General features: G+C 37.7%; 1 protein-coding gene across 7 annotated transcripts in view; it reads right to left on the bottom strand.

Moving 5' to 3' along the window:
* The window catches only part of CD163 (CD163 molecule), a 32967-nt gene continuing 12485 nt past the window's right edge, over window positions 443-20924 (bottom strand). For 2 of the 7 annotated variants that reach the window (NR_163255.1, NM_203416.4), the window contains exons 7-17: window positions 17405-17719; window positions 16991-17305; window positions 16526-16618; window positions 16131-16445; window positions 14728-15048; window positions 12999-13307; window positions 12598-12636; window positions 12275-12394; window positions 10793-10888; window positions 9492-9545; window positions 443-1029 (exon numbers count right to left, since the gene is read on the bottom strand). Coding sequence is in view for 6 of the 7 variants with exons in the window: in NM_203416.4 (NP_981961.2) it covers window positions 9523-9545; window positions 10793-10888; window positions 12275-12394; window positions 12598-12636; window positions 12999-13307; window positions 14728-15048; window positions 16131-16445; window positions 16526-16618; window positions 16991-17305; window positions 17405-17719 (1946 nt within the window). In the remaining variant the exon portion in view is untranslated. Of the gene's footprint in view, window positions 1030-9491; window positions 9629-9698; window positions 10889-12274; window positions 12395-12597; window positions 12637-12998; window positions 13308-14727; window positions 15049-16130; window positions 16446-16525; window positions 16619-16990; window positions 17720-20924 lie in introns of those variants that run through there. The other 5 variants (NM_001370145.1, NM_004244.6, NM_001370146.1 and 2 more) reach the window with 5 other exon arrangements.

Raw genomic sequence — 20924 nt, forward strand, 5'->3', positions numbered from 1 at the left:
TATACATATTTCAAAATATCATATTGAACATGATAAATATGTAAAATTTTGTCATTTAAAAAATAAATAACACAAAGAAAGGATAAATGCTTGAGGTGATGAATACCTAATTTACCCTGATGTGATGATTACACATTGTGTGCCTTTATCAAAATATCTCATATACCCCATATATATATACACTTACAGTGGACCCACTAAAATTAAAAAAAAATCAATTGCATAGAAAACTAGGATATTTAGCAAGTTAGTAGGCCCTAAGTTTAGTGTTGTACTACTTTAAATGCTATCTTTTCTTTATGTGAATATGTATCATAAGTAACTTTTAGTAATATACAAACTTACTTTATAACCATTATATTTACATAGAAAAGACATAGTTTATGTATGTATTTAAGCTTTACTTATAATGTCCTGAGGAATGAGAAACGAAACCACTGAGTCTTTGTGCCCTCACCAGGTGTGGCTCTGCATTTTATTCTAGTGAACAGAATTACAGTAACAAAAAGCAGTTAAAGAATCGTTGTGAGTCATGCCTTATAAAGTTAGCCATATATTATTTACAGACCCTTCAATATCATTAACTTTTCCTGTCTTAGAAAAACTAAAGTAAAAATAAATTTATTTTTATTTGGTAATAGGAAAATTATTCAAACCAAATAAGAAAAAATATACAGTACTGTATATGCAAATTGAAACACTGTCAAATAAAACACATTATAATACATCTAGGAAACTCTACAAAAAATTAGGAAGCCCATTTAGAAATTAATAGAATTAAGGACAAGTAATTAAAGCAAACTCAAATCAATAACATTCTTATTTATTTATTTAATTCCCTTGAAAGTCTCATATACACCACTAAGTAGTCACATTCACAAACTTAATTTTTATAAATTCAGCAGCAGTCTTAGGAATCCTAGGAGAAGAAGAACTCCATAAAAATGCAACTGTAATAGTCAGTGAGAGAGGTGAATTTCTGCTCCATTCAATAGTCCAGGTCTTCATCAAGGTATCTTAAAGGCTGAACTAAAACCATAAATAGAAAAATGTCATTTTCCTCTCCATATGCGTATAAGAATTCATTACATTATAACACAAAGAGAAACTCACTTATGTTAAAAATTATACTACTTTCCTGAGCAGAAATTTTAAATGCTATTTTTTTTTAACTTCAGTGTGCATAAGAATTACTTTTATTCCATGGAAATACAGTAAGATTAAGAAATGCCATTTATAGGAGCTGGCAAGATGGCTGAATAGGAACAGCTCCAGTCTGCAGCTCCCAGTGAGACCAACGCAGAAGTCTCTGCATTTCCAACTGAGTCATTTCTGCATTTCCAACTGAGTGGCGCCTAGAACCCCAGGGAGACAGAACCTTTCACTCCCCTGGAAAGGGGGCTGAAGCAAGGGAGCCAAGTGGTCTCACTCAGCGGGTCCCACTCCCACAAAGCGCAGCAAGTCACGAACTACTGACTTGAAATTCTCGATGCTAGCACTGCAGTCTGAAGTCGAACTCGGACAATCAAGCTTGGTCGGGGGAGGGACATCTGCCATCACTGAGACTTGAGTAGACGGTTTTCCCGTGACAGCGCTAAGGAGGCCAAGGAGGCCGTTGGCCAGATTGCCTCTCTAGATTCCTCCTCTCTGGGCAGGGCATCTCTGAAAGAAAGGCAGCAGCCCCCCTCAGGGGCTTATAGATAAAACTCCCATCTCCCTGGGACAGAGCACCTGGGGGAATGGGGCGGCTGTGGGTGCAGCTTCAGCGCACTTAAACATTCCTGTCTTCTGGCTCTGAAGAGAGCAGCAGATCCTGACAAGGAGAATTCTCCCAGCACAGCGCTCGAGCTCTGCTAAGGGACAGACTGCCTCCTCAAGTGGGTCCCTGACCCCCATGCCTAGTGACTAGGAGAGACCTCCAAGCAGGGGTCAACAGACACCTCATGCAAGAGAGCTCTGGCTGGCATCAGGCCAGTACCCCTCTGGGACGAAACTTCCAGAGGAATGAGAAGGCAGCAATCTTTGCTGTTCTGCAGCCTTCGCTGGTAATACCCAGGCAAATAGGGTCTGGAGTGGACCTCCATCAAACTGCAGCAGAATTACAGAAGAGGGGCCTGACTGTTATAAGAAAAACTAACAAACAGAAATCAATAATATTAACATCAACAAAAAGGACCCCTACACAAAAACCCCAACAAAGGTCATCAGCTCCAAATATCAAAGGTAGATAAATCGATGAAGATGAGGAAAAACAAGTGCATAAATGCTGAAAATTCCAAAAACCAGAATGGCTCTTCTCCTTTAATTGATCACAACTCCTGTCCAGCAAGGGCACAAAACTGGACAGATAATGAGGTTGATGAATTGACAGAAGTGGGCTTCAGAAGGTGGATACTAACAAACTTGTCTGAGCTAAAGGAGCATGTTCTAACCCAATGCAAGGAGGCTAAGAACCTGATTAAAGGTTACAGGAACTGCTAACTAGAATAACCAGTTTAGAGAAGAACACAAATGACCTGATGGAGCTGAAAAACACAGCATGAGAACTTCGTGAAGTATACACAAGTATCAATAGCCAAATCGATCAAGTGGAAGAAAGGATAACAGTAATTGAAGATCAACTTACTGAAAAAAGGAATGAAGACAAGATTGGAGAAAAAAGAATGAAAAGGAACAAACAAAGCCTCCAAGAAATATGGGACTATGTGAAAAGAACAAACCTATGATTGATTGGTGTACCTGAAAGTGATGGGGAGAATGGAACCAAGTTGGAAAACACTCTTCAGGATATTATCCAGGAGAACTTCCACAACCTAGCAAGACAAGCCAACATTCAAATTCAGGAAATACAGGGAACACCACTAAGATACTCCCCAAGAAGAGCAACCCGAAGACACATAATCATCCGTTTCTCCAAGGCTGAAATGAATGAAAAAATGTTAAGGGCACCAGAGAGAAACGTCAGGTTACCTACAAAGGGCAGCCCATCTGACTAACAGCAGAACTTTCTCCAGACACCATACAAGCCAGAAGAGAGTGGGGGCCAATATTTAATATTCATAAAGGAAACAATTTTCAACCCAGAATTTCATATTCAGCCAAGCTAAGCTTCATGAGTGAAGGATAAATAAGATCCTTTACAGAAAAGCAAATGCTGAGGGATTTTGTCACCATCAGGCCTGCCTTACAAGAGCTCCTGAAGGAAGCACTAAATATGGAAAAGAAAAACTAGTACCAGCCACTGCAAAAACACACCAAAATATAAAGACCAATGATACTATGAAGAAACCACATCAACTAATGTGCAAAATAACCAGTTAGCATCATGATGACAGGATCAAATTCACACACAACAATATTAACCTTAAATGTAAATGGGTGAAATGCCCCCAATTAAAAGACACAGACTGGCAAATTGGATAAAGAGTCAAGATCCATCGGCGTGCTGTATTCAGGAGACCCACCTCATGTTCAAGACACACACAGGCTCAAAATAAAAGGATGGAGGAAAACATAACAAGCAAATGGAAAACAAAAAAAAGAAAACAGGGGTTGCAATTCTAGTCTATGATAAAATAGACCTTAAGCCAATAAAGATTAAAAAAAGACACAGAAGGTCATTACATAATGGTAAAGGAATCAATGCAACAAGAAGAGCTAACTATACTAAATACATATGCACCCAATACAGGAGCACCCAGATTCATAAAGCAAGTTCTTAGAGACCTACAAATAGACTTAGACTCCCACACAATAGTAGTGGGAGACTTTAAAACCCCATTGTCAATATTAGACAGATCAATGAGACAGAAAATTAACAAGGATATTCAGGACCTGAACACAGCTCTGGACCAAATGGACCTAATAGACATCTACAGAACTCTCCACTCCAAATCAACAGAATATACATTCTTCTCAGCACCACATAGCACTTATTCTAAAATGGACCTCATAATTGGAAATAAAACACTCCTCAGCAAATGCAAAAGAACAGAAATCATAACAGTCTCTCAAACCACAGTGCAATCAAATTAGAACTCAAGATTAAGAAACTCACTCGAAACCTCACAACTACGTGGAAACTGAACAACCTGCTCCAGAATGACTACTGAATAAGTAACAAAATTATGGCAGAAATAATGAAGTTCTTTGAAACCAATGAGAATAAAGACACAACATACAAAAATCTCTGGGACACAGCTAAAGCAGTGTTAAGAGGGAAATGTATAGCACTAAATGCCCACATCAGAAAGTGGGAAATATTTAGAATCAACACCCTAACATCACAATTAAAAGAACTAGAGAAGTAAGAGCAAACAAATTCAAAAGCTAGCAGAAGACAAGAAATAACTAAGATCAGAGCAAAACCAAAGGAGATGGAGACATGAAAAACCCTTCAAAAATCAATCAACCCAGGAGCTGGTTTTTTGAAAAGATAAACAGAATCGACAGACCACTAGCCAGACTAATAAAGAAGAAAAGAGAGAAGAATCAAATAGATATAATAAAAAGTGATAGAGGGGATATCACCGCTGATCCCACAGAAATGCAAACTACCATCAGAGAATGCTATAAACACCTCTACACAAATAAACTAGAAAATCTAAAAGAAATGGATAAATTCCTGGACACATACATCCTCCCAAGACTAAACGAGGAAGAAGTCGAATTTCTGACTAGACCAATAACAAGTTATGAAATTGAGGCAGTAAGTAATAGCCTACCAACCAAAAAAAAAAAAAAAAAAAAACCATGACCAGATGAATTCACAGCCAAATTCTACCAGAGGTACAAAGAAGAGCAAATACCATTCCTTCTGAAACTATCCCAAACAATAGAAAAAGAGAGACTCCTCCCTAACTCATTTTATGAGGTCAGCATCATCCTGACACCAAAACCTGGCAGAGACACAACAAAGAAAAGAAAATTCCAGGCCAATATCCCTGATGAACATTGATGCGAAAATCCTCAATAAAATACTGGCAAACCAAATCCAGCAGTACATTAAAAAGCTTATCCACCACAATCAAGTTGGCATCATCCCTGGATGTAAGGCTGGTTCAACATATGTAAATCAATAAACGTAATCCATCATATAAACAGAACAAATCACAAAAACCAAATGATTGTCTCAACAGATGCAGAAAACGCCTTCGATAAAATTCAACAGTGCTTCATGCTAAAAACTCTCAATAAACTAGATATTGATGAAACGTATCTCAAAATAATAAGAGCTAATTATGACAAACCCATAGCCAATATAATATTGAATGGGCAAAACCTAGAAGCATTCCTTTTGAAAACCAGCACAAGACAAGGATGTCTTCTCTCACCACTCCTATTCAACAGAGTATTGGAAGTTCTGGCCAGGGCAATCAGGCATGAGAAAGAAATAAAGGGTATTCAAACAGGAATAGGAACTCAAATTATCTCTTGTTGCAGATGACATAATTGTATATTTAGAAAACCCCATTGTCTCAGCCGAAAAACTCCTTAAGCAGATAAGCAACTTCAGCAAAGTCTCAGGATACAAAATCAATGTGCAAAAATCACAAGCATTCCTATACACCAATAATAGACAAGCAGAGAGCCAAATCATTAGTGAACTCCTATTCACAATTCCTACAAAGAGAATAAAATACCTAGGAATACAACTTACAAGGGATGTGAAGGACCTCTTAAAGGAGAACTACCAACCAGTGCTCAAGGAAAGAAAAGAGGACACAAACAAATGGAAAAACATTCCATGCTCATAGATAGGAAGAATCAATATTGTGAAAATGGCCATACTGCCCAAAGTTATTTATAGATTCAATGCTATTCTCATCAAGCTACCATCGACTTTCTTTACAGAATTGGAAAAATCTACTTTAAATTTGATATGGAACAAAAATAGAGCCTGTATAGCCAAGACAATCCTAAGCAAAAAGAACAGAGCTGGAAGCATCACGCTATCTGACTTCAAACTTACTGCAAGTCTACAGTTATCAAAACAGCATGGTACTGGTACCAAAACAGATATATAGACCAATGGCACAGGACAGAGGCCTCAGAAGTAACACCACACCTCTACAACCATCTGATCTTCAACAAACCTGCCAAAAACAAGCAATGAGGAAAGGATTCCCTATTCAATAAATGGCGCTGGGAAAATTGGCTAACCATATGCAGAAAACAGAAACTGGACCACTTCCTTACACCGTATACAAAAATTAACTCAAGATGGATTAAAGACTTAAACATAAGACCTAAAACCATAAAAACCCTAGAAGAAAACCTAGGCAGTACCATTCAGTACATAGGCATGGGCAAAGACTTCATAACTAAAACACCAAAAGCAATGGCAACAAAAGCCAAAAATTGACAAATGGGATCTAATTAAACTAAATAGCTTCTACACAGCAAAAGAAACTATCATCAGGGTGAACAGGCAACCTACAGAATGGGAGAAAATTTTTGCAATCTAGGCATCTGACAAAGAGCTAATAACCAGAATCTACAAGGAACTTTAACAAATCTACAAGAGAAACACAAACAACCCATCAAAAAGTGGGCAAAGGATATGAACAGACACTTCTCAAAAGAAGACATTTATGTGGCCAATAAACATGTGAAGAAAGGCTCATCATCATTGGTCATCTGAGAAATGCAAATCAAAACCACAATGAGATACCATCTCACACCAGTTAGAATGGTGATCATTAAAAAGTCAGGAAACAACGGATGCTGGAGAGGATGTGGAGAAATAGAAATGCTTTTACAGTGTTGGTGGGAGTGTAAATTAGTTCAACCATTGTGGAAGACAATGTAGCAATTCCTCAAGGATCTAGAACCAGAAATACCATTTGACCCACCAATCCCATTACTGGGTATACACCCAAAGGATTATAAATCATTCTACTATAAAGACACAGGCACACATGTTTATTGCAGCACTATTCACAATAGCAAAGACATGGAACCAACTTAAATGCCCATCAATGATAGACTGGATAAAGAAAATGTGGCACATACACACCATGGAATACTATAGAGCCATAAAAAAGAATGAGTTCATGTCCTTTGCAGGGATATGGATGAAGCTGGAAACCATCATTCTCAGCAAACTAACACAGGAACGGAAAACCAAACACCGCATGTTCTCACTCATAAGTTGGAGTTGAACAATGAGAACACATGGACACAGGGAGGGGAACATCACACATGGGGCCTGCTGCGGGGTGGGGGCAAGGGGAAGGAGAGCATTAAGACAAATTTAAGCTCCTAATGCATGCAGGGCTTAAAACCTAGATGGCGGGTTGATAGGCACAACAAACCACCATGACACGTGTATACCTATGTAACAAACCTGCACATTCAACACATGTATCCCAGAACTTAAAGATTAAAAACAAAAAAAGAATCGTCATTTTTTAAAAGCACCCTCATGTGATTCTGAAGCAGTTATTCAGCAGTGATTACTCTTTCAGGGAAAAGTAGTTCAATTATCATTTATCACATCAGAAAACATTCATATGCTTCAGATTATAAATCAAATATTATTCATGGTTCTCAGTTTACAACACTAGAATTTTTAGCTTCTTTATGCACATATGAATGCATAATTTTATAGATGTAAGCATTGTATTTAATTATAGCCAATACATAAATGGAATATTATTATATTTTATAATGATTTTTTCTTTTTTAGTTGCCTAAACCGTCATTTTTCCAGTCATTACTCCATCAATTGGCATTCACTTTGTTTCTAGTTTTTGCCACTTTCAACAACATGGCAGAAAGGAATCTTTGTATATTTGTCATTACATACTAGTGACTTTATTGGTAAGAAGAAATTCTCAGGGATAGAATTATTGGGTCAAAGGGTCTGTGAATCTTTGAAAATAATTTTTAATAGAAACTGCCAGATTGCTTTCTCCAAAGGCTACCTACCATATCTCACACTTCCAAAAGCAGTGTTTGAAATGGCCTTTTTCTCTGTATTCCCGCCAGTAATAAATATTGATGGTATTTCAAATTTTTGTTAGTCTGATTTGTATAAAGTGATAGCTCATTGTTAATTATAATTTCAATCCTCCAGACATTTAAAAATGTCTGTCATTTGAAATTCATTTTGTGTCAATTGTCTTTTCATAGCTTTGCCCAATTATCTATTAGATGTTACACATACACATACATACAATTTACATTCACATATATTAACCCTTTTGTGCTCTGTACAGTTTCTAAGAACTCTATGTATCTATGTGTGTATATATATAGTATGTAAAATTAGCTCTGCATTTTATAGATATTCACAATTTATATTTCATGTACTTTAAGAGTTCCAACTCTTATCCTTTGTCTTAATCTATATTTCGTATATACAAATATTCTGTAGTGTCTTGTACAGTCTTTACCATAGCATGTATTATACAATGTAGATATATAATATGTAGATGAATTATAGGAATATATAATATTTCTATAAAAAATACTTTTTCTACATTTCATTTCTAGATGTAGTCTTCCCCAAATTATTATTTTAAAAACAGAAAATGTATCTAGTAACTCATTTCACAATCTTTTTCTCTTGATGTATAGCTTAACTATACGTCTTGTTCACATTTGAATTTTTTTTTATGTTTTTCTCATGAAAGCAAGTTGTAAAATGCAATTCTAATCATCTTGTCTCATCTGAAACTTTCAAAGCTCATCATCACCTCTTCAACAGACCCCCAGTGAAAGAGAACATAAAGTATAGCAGGTAAGACCATTCATTACAGGGCTCTATGCAGCCTTTTCAGCTTAGATTCTAACCACCTCTCTTCTCTCCACATGGCCTCTTCATATTACCACCTATAGACTATGATATCTTTTATTAAACAATCATGTCTTTGCCAATAGTAGATTTTATCTCTATCTTCAGTGCTCACGGTGCCACTTGTTACCATAAATACGTTCAATATACGTTTTTGAATAAAAAACTTCTTATAGTTCCCTAAAGGCATGGTTCTTTTTTCTGCCTCTAGTTTGCACATACTGTGTCCTTTCTTTGGAACTGTCTATTTTTCAGTTATTTTTAAAGTTTACCTTAAATATCATATCATCTTACAACAACCCCAAAGTTTCTTAGGCAAACTTTCTGTAGTGCCTTGTACAGTCTTTACCATAGCATGTATTATACGATGTAGATGTATAATATGTCTTATCTTTTTCCTGAAATGATACCTGTAATGTCTTCAAAAGATTAATTTGTATTTGTTTACTCAGTTTCTCCTTAGCTCCATGGATGTGTTATTACTATTTGTGTGTATAATTAAGAGATGAATCAGTTATATTTATAAGCTTTTATATATTCTCAATATAGATATATACATATACAAACATATGCACATAAGCAAATAAAATATGTTTATATACATTCTTTCTTTCTAATGCCAGAAGAGCTCTCAGTCCTCAAAAGGAATGCAGCTGTTTTGAACAATGACTAATAAATTCTCATCACTCACCTCACTGGGTTATAAATTCCCATTTTCCTTTTCAGTGTGGCTCAGAATGGCCTCCTTTTCCATTCCAGAAATAGGAAGAAATTTAGACACAGAAATTAGTTCAGCAGCACTGAAATCAGCTGACTCATGGGAATTTTCTGAAAGGAAGAAAATAATTACTGGGAAATAAACCAGACCTCTTCTCACGTAACTGTGAGGCTCTTTGAGCAACTAAAAACACCACCCATAACTAGGAAGAAAAGCATGTGTGATTTAAGGGGCAGAGAAAGTCTTTCCTATTTCTTAAATATGTTTCCTGACACAGTAACAGTACATGTTCCTTAAATATGTTCCCTGACACAGTAGCAGATGCATAATTCTTTGGATGGAAGAAGTGAGGCAGGCCCCTCTCAGAAGGTCAGGGACCCTTCATGGAGTAAAGACAATGGGTTTTGGGATATTTCTTCCAACCCAGTAAAGTCATCCTGCCCAGATGCAGAATTAGTGCACTGGTGCTAAATAGAAGTTCAAGGATAAAACAGCATGATGTGATGAGAAATAAGGCTAGTTCTGTGGATTTGTATGGCTTCTCATGCAATAAAGATATTGAAAGTTTAAGGTTTTAGACTTTTAGGGAAAAATATAATAAATATCAAGCTAGAGAAAAAAAATGACAGGAAATGGGAATGGAAGAAACTGTGAAAGACGTATGTAGGTCAGAGGATACAAAGTAGCAGATACGTAGAATGAACCAGTCTAGAGGTCTAATGTACAACATGAGGATTATAGGTAATAACATTGTGCTGTATGTAGGATTCATGCTAAGTGAGTAGGTTTTAGCTGCTCTTGCCACAAGAACAACACAAAAAAGGGTAACTATGTCAGATGATGGGTGTGTTCATTTGCTTTGCTTTAGTAAGCTTTTTACTATCTATATACATCCCATAAAATCATGTTGTATACCTTAAATATACACAACAAAATTTAAAGAAAAAAGTTAAACTGTCACTTATGACAATCTTTTGTAAGATTAATTTCTGTTTTAATAAAATGAGGTCCAAGTCATAATATTCCTCTGCATGGTTCTTTCCATACCTCTATCAGGAATAATCACAGGCCTCTTAAGCTAAAGGCCTCCCTATGATTGCAATTTTGATATTCTCCAAGAATAATTTTCAGTCATTCTTGTCCATTATATGCATCTAAGCTTCCTATTACATTTTTAGACTTTTTTAACTGTTTATCAAAGTAGAATGTCTGTGCCTCAACTGCAGCCACTGATCTGAACCCCTGGGCAATAGACCCTCCAAGAACCCACAGACCTGAGGAATTCATTAGGTCCAGATCATCTGCATTCAGGCAAGAATTCATCTCCCGGTATTGAATTTGGTGGACTAAGTTCTCTCCTCTTGAGGAAACTGAAAACAGAGATCCCTAGGTTAGGGATCAGCTATCATAATAAAATTTCCCTTGCTGTAAGTGTGTTTTTTCCAAGCGCTGCAAACATACCTCGTCTTTATCCCTGCTATTGTTTCTATCCCATTCTACTACCAAGCTCTTCCCTTACAATTCCGCACACTCAAATGAAATAGGCACAAGGCTAAATCTTCCCCACTGCCATTGTATTAATATAAACAACCCACTGTTTTTACCCAAGGAAGCCAGCAGTCTTCCATAACTCACTGGAGCTTTTCTTAAGTATCTCTAAAAGTCTTTCCTCTCCCCTCCATTCTCACTATATATGTTATAGTACTTTTCATTTTTCACCTCAACTGTTACAAAATGCCATTCCTGTCAGTCAAGTGGTCCTCCTTCAATCCTCCTAGATCCCGTTGCCAAAAGATCTTCCTAAAAGATATCTTGACCATTTCACTCCCCTACATGATACTCTTTAATGACTATGAATCTTATGTGAAACATAAGAACTTCATAATTTGTGCCTTTTCTCTTCTTCAGACTTAGCAGCCTCTCTCCTCACACTCAACTTTTCTCCCCCCGCCCCTCAGGAAAAAAACAAGAAATGCTTCATCCTTTAGGCTTCTCTAGACTTGTACATATTCTTCTCTAGAATGTTCCTCACCCAATTCTCTGAGCCTCTATGTTCGAAATTTGTCCCCAAGCCTCTTTGAAGCCTCCAGTAATCCCCCTCCCCTTTCAGTTAATTACTCCCTTCTCTGTGCCACTTTTGTTCCTTTTTCCTATTAATGTAAAATGGCTACATTGTAGTGTATTTGTTTACATATATATCTCTTCCACTAGACTTGAAGTTCCACCAAGATTTATTGTCCATGTCTGTATCTTCAGAGCCTAATACATTGCTCAACAGAACAGTAAAATTTGTAATAAGGAGATTGATTATAGTAAGAGAAAATAAATGTTTAGGTAAAAAGTCATCCTAAACAATATCTAACATATTCATTCTGAACTTTCAATTCTGTAATGTTCCAGTTAAGCATGTAGATAGAACACAGGAATCATCAATGCAACCTAAACCCCTTTTCTCCTCTGAAATCTTATTCCCTCTATTTAAAAAATGAAAAAAATCTGTAGAAATGGGAGCTCCCTGTGTGGCCCAGGCTGGTCTTGAACTCCTGGACTCAAGCAATTCTCCTGCCTCAGCCTCCCAAAGTGTAGGGATTACAAGTGTGAGCCACTGTGCCTGGCCCTTCCCTCTGTTTTGAGAAACTGCTCAAACCTCTTTTAGAGTCCATCTTTCTGGCCATTAGACTTGAGTCTAATATTTTCGTCTTACAAGAACCCCCTTATCCTGTAGACATATTAGATAAACCAAATTTGGCTCAAACCTGCAAGCCGCTGTCTCTGTCTTCGCTTTTTAGTCAAGAAGAATAATGCGACGAAAATGGCCAACAGAACAACCCCAAGGATCCCGACTGCAATAAAGGATGACTGACGGGATGAGCGACCTAAGTAAAAGTAAATATCAAGAGATATGATCATGTCTTATCGAAAAGATCAAGGTCCCTAGTTACTGATTCTCTCTTAGGTCAAATACTTGATCCCTGAGGTAAATATCAAATCCTCAGAACGTCTGACCTAAAATTTCTAAACAAGAAAAATTCTATGTATGCAGATAATTGGTCTCATCATCATAAACTCCATGATATACCTGTTGTGGCTTTTTGTGGGGTTTTCTGCACTGAAATATCTGTAGGAGAAAAGAAAGAGAGAGGGTTAATTCTTTGCATGATATATAGAACAAGCCTTCTGATTTCCTTGTCTGACCCCTTAGTACCTCTCAACCAAGTATATGACTCTTTCCCACCTAAAACTAGAGTCCTCTAGTCTTTCTTTCTCTGCACAGGGAATATAGGTTGTATGTGTCTCCTTGGTGAAGGCCGTTGTATAACAATTGTTTTCATCATTCTTTCAGTAGAGACATTATGATTCTCTGAGAATCCCCACCAGATCCCTGTGCTGATAAATCCGGTTTTTACACAACACACATCACTGCCCAACCCCTCTTTGCTGCCAGAGATTCCAAGCTCAATCCAGGCTTCTGGCACTTACCTGTGCAATTCACTGCAGCGTCTTCCTTGTGCCCACACTCACTATGGCCCCAGCGTCTGGCAGGACAATCCCACAAGGAAGACTCATTCCCTTTGCACTTCACTTCATTGAGCCATATCGGTCCAGTCCCCTGACCAAACTCTGCTTCTTTGAATGCTTTCAAAGCTGGACCACAGCCAAGTTGTTGACACACCACCTGAGCATCGTCCAAGTCCCAAGAGTCATCACACACTGTCCCCCAGGAACCTCCATGCCAGATCTCCACACGTCCAGAACAGGAAGTGGGTCCTTCCTGAAGTCTTATCTTGTCTGAAAAATCAGAGACATGTAGCCTATTTCTAAGACTTCTAAAAGTTTCCAGGAGTTCACAGGTGAAAAGAGAGATTTGAAACTTAAAAAAAAAAAAAAACTATTTAAAATTTTACTGAATGTGCATATTAAAATTTATATATATATATGTATATATATATATATATTTTTTTTTTTTTTTTTGAGACAGAGTCTCGCTCTGTCACCCAGGCTGGAGTGCAGTGGCACAATCTCGGCTCACTGCAAGCTCCGCCTCCCAGGTTCACACCATTCTCCTGCCTCAGCCTCCCAAGTAGCTGGGACTACAGGCGCCCACCACCACACCCGGCTAATTTTTTGTATTTTTAGTAGAGACGGGGTTTCACCATGTTAGCCAGGATGGTCTCGATCTCCTGACCTCGTGATCCGCCCACCTCGGACTCCCAAAGTCCGATTACAGGCGTGAGCCACCGTGCCTGGCCTAAAATTTATATTTTTACAAAATTTATCTTTTATAAGAGGACTTGTCATTACAGCCAACTAGGTATATTCCATCCTGCACATAAGATACATAATGTGACCCAGTAAATGTTAAATGATTAAAGTTAACATTATAAATATGTGATGTCAAATTCTTTCAAATAGGCAAGATCTTGGGAAACTGGCAGGTTGTCACAAATCTCACAGTTTAAGAAGATGTAGAGGCCAGGCACAGTGGCTCACACCTGTAATCCCAGCAATTTGGGAGGCCAAGGCGGGTGGATCACCTGAGGTCAGAAGTTCAAGACCAGCCTGGCCAACATGGGGAAACCCCATCTCAACTAAAAATACAAAATTAGCTGGGCATGGTGGCTCATGCCTGTAATCCCAGCTACTCAGGAGGCTGGAGCAGGAGAATTGCTTGAACCAAGAAGGCAGAGGTTGCAGTGAGCCAAGATCACGCCATTGCACTCCAGCCTGGGGAACAAGAGCAAAACTCTGTCTCAAAAAAAAAAAAAAAAAAAACCTGTAGAATGTGGAAATACTTCAGAATTGATCTTTCTGATTTCTGACTGCTTTTCTCCTTATATTAGTGTAACAAGATAATATTTGAAAGAAAAATGGGAAGGTAAGGTAGACCATTCAACAGTCAAATATTAAACCACATATTCTCTCCTCCTCAGAGAAAGCAATTGAATAAATCTTTCAAGCAGACCATGGGGAGTATGATATTCTTTAGAATAATAATAGCTGATCCTGAATATCTACAGGCCAAATTAAATAAAACCAGTTACACTATCCAGGTAGAATAGATATTACCCACAAGTTACCCATTCTTGCTTAATTCAATCTAACAATTTAAGCCAGTGTGAGAATAGGAAAATAAAATCCAGTGTCCATTATCAGAAGATGATAGCGGGGCTGCAGAATGGAATTTTCATATAGGTCGATGGATACTCACTGTCACATGTGATCCAGGTCTCCTCCGAGGGGCTGGCCAGTCTCTTCTCCCATGGAGATGATGGGCACTGCCACAGCGTGTCAGGTCCTTTTGGACACTGAACATTGTCCACCCACATGGGAATGGACATGGCCTTGTCTAAAGATGCAGGGTTGATTTTCCCTTTGTCTGCACAGCCCAGCTGCCTGCACACCACACCCACAGTGGTTTCAGACATGCTACTCTTGCCAACAGTGCCCCAAGCTCCATTGTAAAAAACTTCCAGACGCCCTGCACAGGCCTCTCTGCTGGCTTCACTGGTCAGTCTCAGAGACATGAATTCTGCAGCGAAACATAGAATTAGTAGTTTTGCATCTTTTCTGAAGATTCAGAGACTCCTTCCCTTTACCTTGATGTAAGAATGGCTTTAAAAATAGGTACAATAGTACAATATGTCAGTTACTAATAATTCGTTAGTAACTTCTGGATGATTTCATAGATATTATTAAAATATTTTATTTATTCTATAAATACATTATAGTTTTTTGGTCTTTGGTTTTGGACTCAGAGTCCTCTTTAGATTACCCTCAATCATTCTAATAGGCTTTTTTCAGTTACATAGTTTGGATTTTTTCCCAAAAATATTCTCCTTTTTTTGCAACTGTCTTTGATAGTTAAAATTGTTAGACACTCAGGCACTAAAATCAATGTTTTGTGTACATCTCTTAAAATGACAGTTCATTTGCTGACACTTCACAGTTTTGCAGTGCATGTCTTCTACCAGATTTATGTCATTAAAATAGGAATAAATCACTTCTGAGATACAGAGTTTTTCACTTCCTTAAGTTACTGAATCATAGTTCTGTTCCCCATAATACATATGAAATAGTACATTTTTAAATTTCAGAATGTTTTCTAAAACTCACCATGTATACAAAGCAGTATGAGGGCAGTAACCTCATGCTACTTTTTGTTTCTATGACAAGTAAGTCTCATTTATCTGCCATGAAAAATTGCTTGGGCATAGTAATTATCTTTTTTTCTGTAGAATGATGCAACATATATATTTCTTCTTGTCCCTTTAAATCTACTTCTTTACTAATACTGTAATTATCAAGTGTTGCTATTGGATCGCTATCTAATATCTGGCCCCAAATATATTTATTAAAAACCTTCATTATTAACTTTGTTGTCATTTTCATGATATACAAGACCATTTCTGGTCTTTTCTCTTTACAATGTTGCACTACCTTGCTCATGAAGTACCACTAGCACATCAAACCCAGACTTCTGTTGTCCTGACTCCCACAATAGTTCCTTTTGGATCAACTTTTCAGGAAAATCTTTAAGATTAATACCCCTCACTACCCTTCCTCAGTCCTTTCTCTATGTAATTATGACCAAAGGTCATATGCATAATTTACCTGAGCAGATAACTCCCGCATCCTCCTTGTGCCTGCAATTTTGCTGCCCCCAGCCGTGTGAATGGCACTGCCAAATGCGGGATTCTTTTCCATTGCATTTCATCTCATCCAGCCAGATGGGCCCTGTTCCTTCCCCAAAATGAGCAGAACCAGTGGCATTAATGGCCTCTCCACAGCCCAGCTGTCTGCAAACCACGTGGGCATCACTCAGGTCCCAGCTGTCATCACAGATGGTGCCCCAGGAGCCCTCATGATAGATCTCTACTCTCCCAGCACAGCGACCTCCTCCATTTACCAGGCGAAGTTGACCACTCTCTGCAAAGAGAAATGAAACTATTAATAATGAGCATTCCACTTGTTATTAATATTTTCATAGATTTGTCACAGAGTCTTACCTATGCAGGCCACAGCACTTTCTTCTGGAATGGTAGGCCTTGTTGGGCCCAAAGACGATGAATTGCACGAGGACAGTGTTTGGGACTGGTTTCCTGCAAACACCAAGGTACTCAGTCATACAAGACACAAAAGGTTAGGGGAGTCAGATGAAATGTTATATGGATGAGTTGAGGACAAACATAGCTTAGAGAGAGAGGGGAAGGTGGATGGTCAACAAGTTTGAAATAAATCAGGTGCTTTGAGATGGGCTTGGCACATAGTAAGCACTGGATAACTAAGAAGTCCATCAAAATTAGGTTTGCTCACCCTCTGAAAAGACAAATGAGGTTAATATTCTGAAGCATGAATTAGTATTCATTCTTCTCATGACCCTTCAAAATGGATCACTGCGTTTTACTTTTGTTCTTCATCCCTATGTACACCTTCTCTTAAGACCCATCACTGGCTGCCCGTCATCCTCTTACCTGAGCAGATTACAGAGGCCACTTGCTCTGAAGGACATAATGAAGCACCTAGAGCAGTTACAGGACAATCTCCCATGTGCTGCTCAGTCCCAGTGCAGTGAAACATATGCCTCCAGATCTGACCATTTCCTTTTCCAAAACGTGCTCCTCCTGGGGTAGAAAGGGCAACTCCACATTTAAGCTGCTGGCAAAGAACATGGGCATCTTCTATGTCCCAGTGAGAGTTACAGAGGGATCCCCAGGCACCAAGCGTTTTGAGCTCCACTCTGCCCTCACACGGGGTCTTGCCATTCACCAAGCGAATTTCTGTGTATCCTGGAAGGAGACAGGGCTTTAGAAAAAGACAGCTATGACTCCCTAACCCTGTCCCTTTCACAGTATGAGAACCAATTAAAGATGTTTTCTGGGTCTTACTTGAGCAGACTACTCCAACATCCCTGCTGTGGCTACAAGTTCCTTCTGGGCGGGGTGCTACTGGGCAGAGTGAAAGATGGGACTCATGTCCCTCACACTGGAATTCTTCAGCCCAGATCTGTCCATTTCCCTCTCCAAAGTGAGCTCCCCCCAGGATAGAGACAACTGTGCCACACTGTAATTCCCTGCATAGAACGCTGGCAGCTTCCAGAGAGAAGTCCGAATCACAGATGGAGCCCCACGTGTCACCATGCTTCACTTCAACACGTCCAGAACAGGGAATGTCCCCTCCAACCAGTCTGGGTTCCCTGTGGGCTGAAAAATAAATATTATTTCAGTGAGAGGTAATATGATTTCCAGATTTCCATTCATGATGAGGGTGAAGAAGGTGGTGTGGAGTGGGAAATGGAGACCAGGGTGCTCAGTGATTTCCTACACTTGTTTGTCTTGGCTTTTCTGCCTCGAGTTGGGTATGGATAAATCTAGACCTCCCCATTCCTAGCTGAACTCATCCATCTGAGAGAATTCTGGGACTTCACCTTGTGCAGCCAACCATCCCCAAAGGCAATGATAACTCTGTTCTTCCAAAATTTTGCTTACTTTATTCATAATAACATTAGAGACCACAAACAATGTGTATCTACTATCGCTATCTCTTAGTCTTGCACTCATTCCTCCATGTACTGCAATCTGGGGTCTGCTCAACCTTTTTGAATTGTTCTATGTAAAGCTTTTCAATATACTTCTAATTTTCAGAATGAACATCAGACTTCTTCCTTTTGACGTCTGTTACGTTTGGTATACGTGACCCTTCTTGTCCCATTTTCTCCTCCATTCTTTCTGACAGTGCTTTATCAAAACATTTCGTGTATTCCTTGAGTCAAAGTTCTGTCCGTAACCTTCTCATCTGCTCAATGGACATGTCTCAACTGCTAATAAATATATTTTCATCCATACTTTTTTCTTTAATTTTAGATCCACAAACGTATCTGCTTAGACATGTGGAGCTTAAAGTATTCAAAGTTGAATGAATTATTGTATGACAAGCCCACTATATTCTTTACTTAATTAATGATATACAGGCCAAATTAGAACCACCTAAAATTGACCCACTTTATCTCACCACAAATAATGGTAATAATGATAGCAGTGAATATTAAGTGAGCGTCTATTATATTACATATATGGCATTCCAATAAGCATTTAACAAACATTATTTCATTCAATCCTTAAAATTGCCTTAGGAGATAATTGTTAATATCATTCTGATTTTACAGACAGGGAATCTGAAACATAGAGAGGTGAGGTGTAGTAATTTGCTAAGGTCACACAAGAAATTACTACAGAATTAGTAAGAGAACAGAATTTGAAGCCAGACAGTATATTCCAGAGCCTAGAATGTTGACTTTCATGATACATTGAACATGTAGAAAACCACCATATCTGTTGGTCCTCCAGCATATTTCTTCTTCTGCATATTTGTTGCTATTGCCATAAAGTGATTTGTCATCATCTGTCATGCAGACCTCTACAATAGCTTCGTAAATTGTTTCCTTGCTTCAAAGTCTTTTTTCCAAGAAATTTATGCCATGATTATAAATATATTAATAAATTTCAAATATTTTCATGTGATGTTTTTCCTTTAGATGACTTAACGTTTCCTTAAAATGTATGCAATGATCCCTTACATAATTTCTTATAATTTCTGTAATAATCATGTATGCAATAATTAATCCAAAAGTATCAATGTAATGACCTATAATGTAACAACCTGTAATGTTCTCTGACTCTATTTTAGGCATTTGATGATGGGTGGGTTAAAAAGGCCGCCACAGAATTCAGTCTGTCAGTGAAGATAGATAATACTAAAAATAATAATCATAATCATATTAGCTAACATGTATTTATAGCTCACTGTGTAATTCCTGTGAGGTAGGCCCTATTACCACTCCCATTTTTCTTCTGAGCAAACTGCAGCACAAACAGTTTTCATAGATTCCCTAATTTCGTCCAGCTATTAAAATTAAGGAGAGGTGATAAACACTAATTCTTTAGTACACTTTAAAATAGTATGCTGTTACCTTAAAAGCTTTAATATCTATTACTTTATCAACCTAATTTGATGCTCCAGCCTAAAGATGCTTGGGCATGCCGTAATTTTCATGCTTCTGTGCCTCTGTAGAAACTTTTCTCTCTACTTAAAATTTATTTCCCTACCTTATATACCTAGGAAAAGGCTACTTCTTTTCAAGGCTGTTCAATTTCTCACTAATAGCCTTCTCCTCCATGAACACAGTTCACTACAAGATATACATATTTTAATAGTGATGAACCCAAAAATAGAAATATGTATTAGACATAAAACTAACAAATAAAGGAGTCATTCACTCTGTTTTAGACTATGGGGGAGAGAATAACATAGATCTAAACTGGATCTTGAAAAAAGATGAGGAGTTTGCCAAATACACAGTGTGTGAAACAATCTTTAAGGAATATGGTCACGAAATGCATGGTGTCATTGAAGAATTATAAGTAACTTACTGTAGCTGAAATTTAAAATATAAAGAAAAGACACACCAGAAATAATAAATGGAATTTATATTATGAAGATGCTCTTTGTCAAGTTAAGAAACACAATCATCAAGATAAGTGAGTTTCTTTGAAAATACTCAGAGGCAATATAAAGTACTTAAGAGATACAAACTATTTCTTTTAACTTGTTCTTTAAGAGAAATAAAGAAAATGCAGTTGAAAATTAGACCTTCTGAAGGTCTTAAGTCCTTTATAGATACCTGCTATCAAATATCAACAATTTTTGTAATCTCTTGATGTTACTATCACAATGATATAGATACACCATCAGCCCTTGCCAATCTACATACTCTGATTTCCTTTCATCTCTCATAAACCTTTCACCTGATACAAAAATGTCTTAGAAAATGTTTCGAATATGACCATGTTCTGTACTACAGCAATATAGAATACCTCAACATGTCAAAATTTCACCCATTATCCATTAAATCTGCGCAAAGCAAATTCCTATCCAAATTTGAAATGAAAAACATGTTGCTTTCTAAACATAGCTCAGAGTTTAAAGCAAATAACACCTCTACAATACAAATAATTAATGACCCTTGAGTGGGATGGTCTTTCATTTCTTCTTTTTGAATCTTTATTCAAGCATGAAATTTCTCTAAGATATCATTAACTAGTATTCATATGATCCCAACCTCTTTTGGACAGCCCTAAATCTTTAAGTAAAGGCAGTCTCCTAGATCAAGCCAAATTCTGGTTTCTTGTAACTTCTTACTCTTTCATTTGGACCCATCTTGAACAAAATAAACCAAAAGAAAACCAGTGAAAAACAAACAAACAAACAAACAAAAATATTTTCTTTTCCATTGTGAAAACTCATTAAGCAATTGAGAAAAAGTCCCTTCTATAAGTATCCTCTTGTTTTCTTTGTACTAACATATTTGAGTCAAGGCAGAGGACAAATTCTCCAACTCAGAAAGTGACT

This window comes from Homo sapiens, chromosome 12 (assembly GCF_000001405.40).
Source record: "Homo sapiens chromosome 12, GRCh38.p14 Primary Assembly".
NCBI lineage: Eukaryota > Metazoa > Chordata > Mammalia > Primates > Hominidae > Homo > Homo sapiens.